The following is a 4,038-nucleotide window of genomic DNA, read 5'->3' as shown; positions in this document are numbered from 1 at the left end:
GTCCATCAGCTAATGAATGGATAAAGAAAATGTAGCATATATAAACAGTGGAATATTATTCAGCCATAAAAAATAAAATCCTGTCATTTGTTGCAACATGAATGGAACGGGAGGACATTGAGTGTAATAAGCCAGGCACAGGAAGACAAAAATCACATATTTTTTCTCACATATGGGAGCAAAAATCAATTGATCTCATGGAAGTAGAGAGTAGAATGGTAGTCACCAGATGCTGGGAAGGGTGGTGAGGGAATTGGCAATAAATAGGTACAGGTTGGTTAAGAGTACAAAATACAGCTAGACAGAGGAATAAGATCTAGTACTCAATAGCACTATAGGGCAGCTAGCGTTAATGATAATTTATTGTATATTTTAGAATAATTAGAAGAGTAGATTTAGAATGTTTCCAACACAAAGTAATAATAAATGTTTGAGGTGACGAATATCCCAATTACCCAGATTTACTCATCACACATTGTATGCTTGTATCAAAATATCACATGTACCCCATAAATATGTACAACTATTATGTATCCATTAAAATTAGAAACATAAAAAACTGTGAGATCACTAACAGGATATAACATAATTAATCATAAGTCATGTAATAAAAAAAATCAGAAGTTTTTCTGGGAAAAAAATAAGAAGTCAAAGCACAACACAGTTGATAAACCGATAGGGAACAAAGAATATAATCAGCACTGAGAGTCCTCTTCCTCTTACCTAGATTTTAGATTTACAAATTTTTATATTTTTAATCACCCTTTCTACCATAACCTTGAGGCTAACTTTTTAATAACCGTAGAACCACCAAAAATTCACTGCCACATCACTTTCCCTTCTCTTGGCCACCCCCTTTCTCCAGAAAGAGTTTTCTTTACGCAGTTGAATAAAAATTTCCACTACAAGTGTAAGATGTGGAGTATGAAAGTAGGGAAAATGAAACCAATTTTAAAACTCAAGGAAAAACTAATAGGAGAGAAATCTTGAGGGGAAATCAGTTAATGAAATGCTCTAATTTTACATTTGAAGAACAAGAGAAATTAAGATGATGTAATTAAACTAAGACTCTCAACTTTTTGTTTGTCATCAAAAAGTTGTTAACAATCTTAGTTATCAAAAATTATTTTTATTTTAGATAAAACTGTATACATAAAGGAAATAAATTGAGAAAACATTTTAAAATACAGTGATAGAACCAATGATGCACCTCAATTAGAAATCTGTTATTGTTCGTTATCCCCTAGGAGAAGACCAGAGACACAAACCATTTCTTTGGTCCCCTCTGAATCTAACTCTTGCATAAAGGGTACATCCAAATTACTTAAGATGAAATAATTTGGTTCAGTTAGATACCTTGTAAATGCAGGATCAAAATTTGCTATAAATAAAGAGATATCATTGGGGCAGTTCTTCCCATTTGAACAATATGTAAAGGCATATGCCTAATATAACCCGCCTACAGGGAAAAAGAGAAGGGAAGAAAAAGAAATATCTAAATCATGCTCACTACCTGGCTGAGGGGATCATTCATACCCTAAACCTCAGCATCACGCATATGCCCATGTAACAAACTTGCACATGTATCCCATGAACCTAAAATGAAAGTTGAAATAAATAAGTAAATAAATAAATACATAAGTAATCTAAATCAGCCCACTTCACACCTGGGGGTGACAGAGTAGTCTTTCTGATGAGGGTTTTTTTCCCCCCAATTATATCTTTGTTGTTGGTTTTTCTTCTGACATAACTAAAAGTCAAGGGATAATGTTTAGCCCCGCATTCCTGAGGAGAAGCTTTGCTTGCAGAATGATAACTGACTTTACTCTTCTTGGTGGTGTTTATCACACCCTTCTTCAAAAAACCTTCCAGGTATTCATGCCTTACTAGTAAATCCTTGAGGACAAAGACAATGCTCATCTTGTTCAGGGGTATTGTTACTAACAGTTACTAAAGATAAATTTATGTCTTAAAATATAGATGGATACATTGCAACAACTACGTGACGAAAGCAAGGAGGAATTTTTATCCCCATCTAACTGAGAAACAGTCTGAGAGAGACTAAGCTCTCTAGAGAGTACGATGGCTAACAAGGGGAGGAACCAGGACTACAACAGCACTATCTCCATACCATTCCATGTTTTCACCTCTCTCAAGGCCAAGTATACATGCTTGTATTAACAGAGAAATAAATGCTGTTCATAAAAATACAACTCCACAAAAAACTAACGAAAAAAAAGTCATTTGTAAAAAAAATCAATTGTGTTTCTCTCCTTTTTTCTGAATGATTTCTAAAATTAAATTTCTCAACTAGGTAGACTGATCTGAAACTTGCAAGGCATTGCCCAACACTGAGTAATCCTATACAAAATATGGACCCACCAAGTACTTTAGCTCAAGTTGTTTTGTCTTCCTGTTTTCTCACCCTTACTTCAGTAGCAGACAAGATGCATGTCAAACAATGACAAAATAATTTTGAATTTTACAAAGCACTTTAACAAATCACCTCAGTCACTCTAAACTGTAACAGCCTATAAATGCAAATGCCACATTTATCTTAAGGGTGCAGAATGTCTGAAAAATAGTAAAGGTCCCCTCAGCATTTCTCTCATGGTAGGAAACTGTAAAATTCCACAGACACACTATACAATGCATCTCTTATTTAGAAAAGGAAGACAAACCAAGGGCATGAGACAATATATTATTTGTTTTTAGTGTTTCTTACACTCAAATTATTTTACTTCAGACTACAAGAAGCAAAGAGAGATAACCCCAAATAAAGCTCCTCCTAAACTTCAAAACTCTGCTAAGGGTTTGAAGACAGATGTAGGATGTCTGCCAGCTTTGATAAGAAACTGTAAAAGAAAGGACAGAACCTTAGGAAGTGGAAAGATACACCAAAGTGTATTTATTACTCAACTGAGTAAAATTATGATAAAGAACAGTTGTACCATTTGTGTGAAGAGAAAGCTAAAATTTTAAATACAGCCCATATATTTTTGTCATAGCTGCAATCTAAATTTTAATAACAGAACAAGAAGCTATTCTTTTTAAGATTTTCATCAAATTTGAAGTTATAAACCTTACTTTGATTTTATTCATTGATAATCATTGAACTAATAAGTCATGTGTGGAAAATGCTATAAAAATTTCACTGGAGGCTTTCTTTTATTAAAATAAAACATTTTAAACTTATTTATTTATTTATTTATTTATTTATTTATTTATTTATTTTGAGATTGAGTTTCACTCTTGCCCAGGCTGGAGTGCAATGGCGCCATCTTGGCTCACCGCACCTCCGCCTCCCAGGTTGAAGTGATTCTCCCGCCTCAGCCTCCTGAGTAGCTGGGTGTACAGGAATGTGCCACCATGCCTGGCTAATTTTGTGTTTTTAGTAGAGATGGGGTTTCTCCATGTTGGTCAGGCTGGTCTCGAACTCCCACCCTCAGGCAATCCACCCGCCTTGGACATTTTTAAATATGCTTCTCTATGGGGATTATGCCAAGTGTACACTTGAAAACCTGTTTCTCTTTGATGAGAGCTAGAGGTAATTCATAATTTAATTGTCATAGGTTTTTAGAATTCATTCCCAACCTCTTCATTATTCCACTAAAAATATTTATTGAACAACTACTATGAGCTATGCACCATGATTGTGATATAAATTTGAAAAAAAATCTCCCACTAATATTCTCTGTAATTGAAGTTTTCTTCTTCAACATCTGCTGCAGCACTGAATTCCTGCTACATGTCACTCTTTATTCATAAGTCAGTAGAGACGAAAGCAGCAGGATACATTTATCCAGAGAGTCTGTAAATTATTTAAAGCTACAGTGGCTTTCTTTCAAACATCACTATAACTTATCTAGGGCAGCAGCCTAAAACAATGTCAAAGTTTCTCTGTTCCCCATTTCATTTTCATAGCCAGTGAATAATTCATATTTCTAAACTCAATTAAACTATAACCTTGTGAATTTTCTACTTTACTTGTTCACATTGGAAAAATTAAGTAATTTTTCTTTTATTACAGAGTAATAT

The sequence above is a fragment of the Homo sapiens genome, chromosome 2, assembly GCF_000001405.40.
Source record: "Homo sapiens chromosome 2, GRCh38.p14 Primary Assembly".
In the NCBI taxonomy this organism is placed as follows: domain Eukaryota; kingdom Metazoa; phylum Chordata; class Mammalia; order Primates; family Hominidae; genus Homo; species Homo sapiens.
This window is presented reverse-complemented; position numbering follows the sequence as displayed.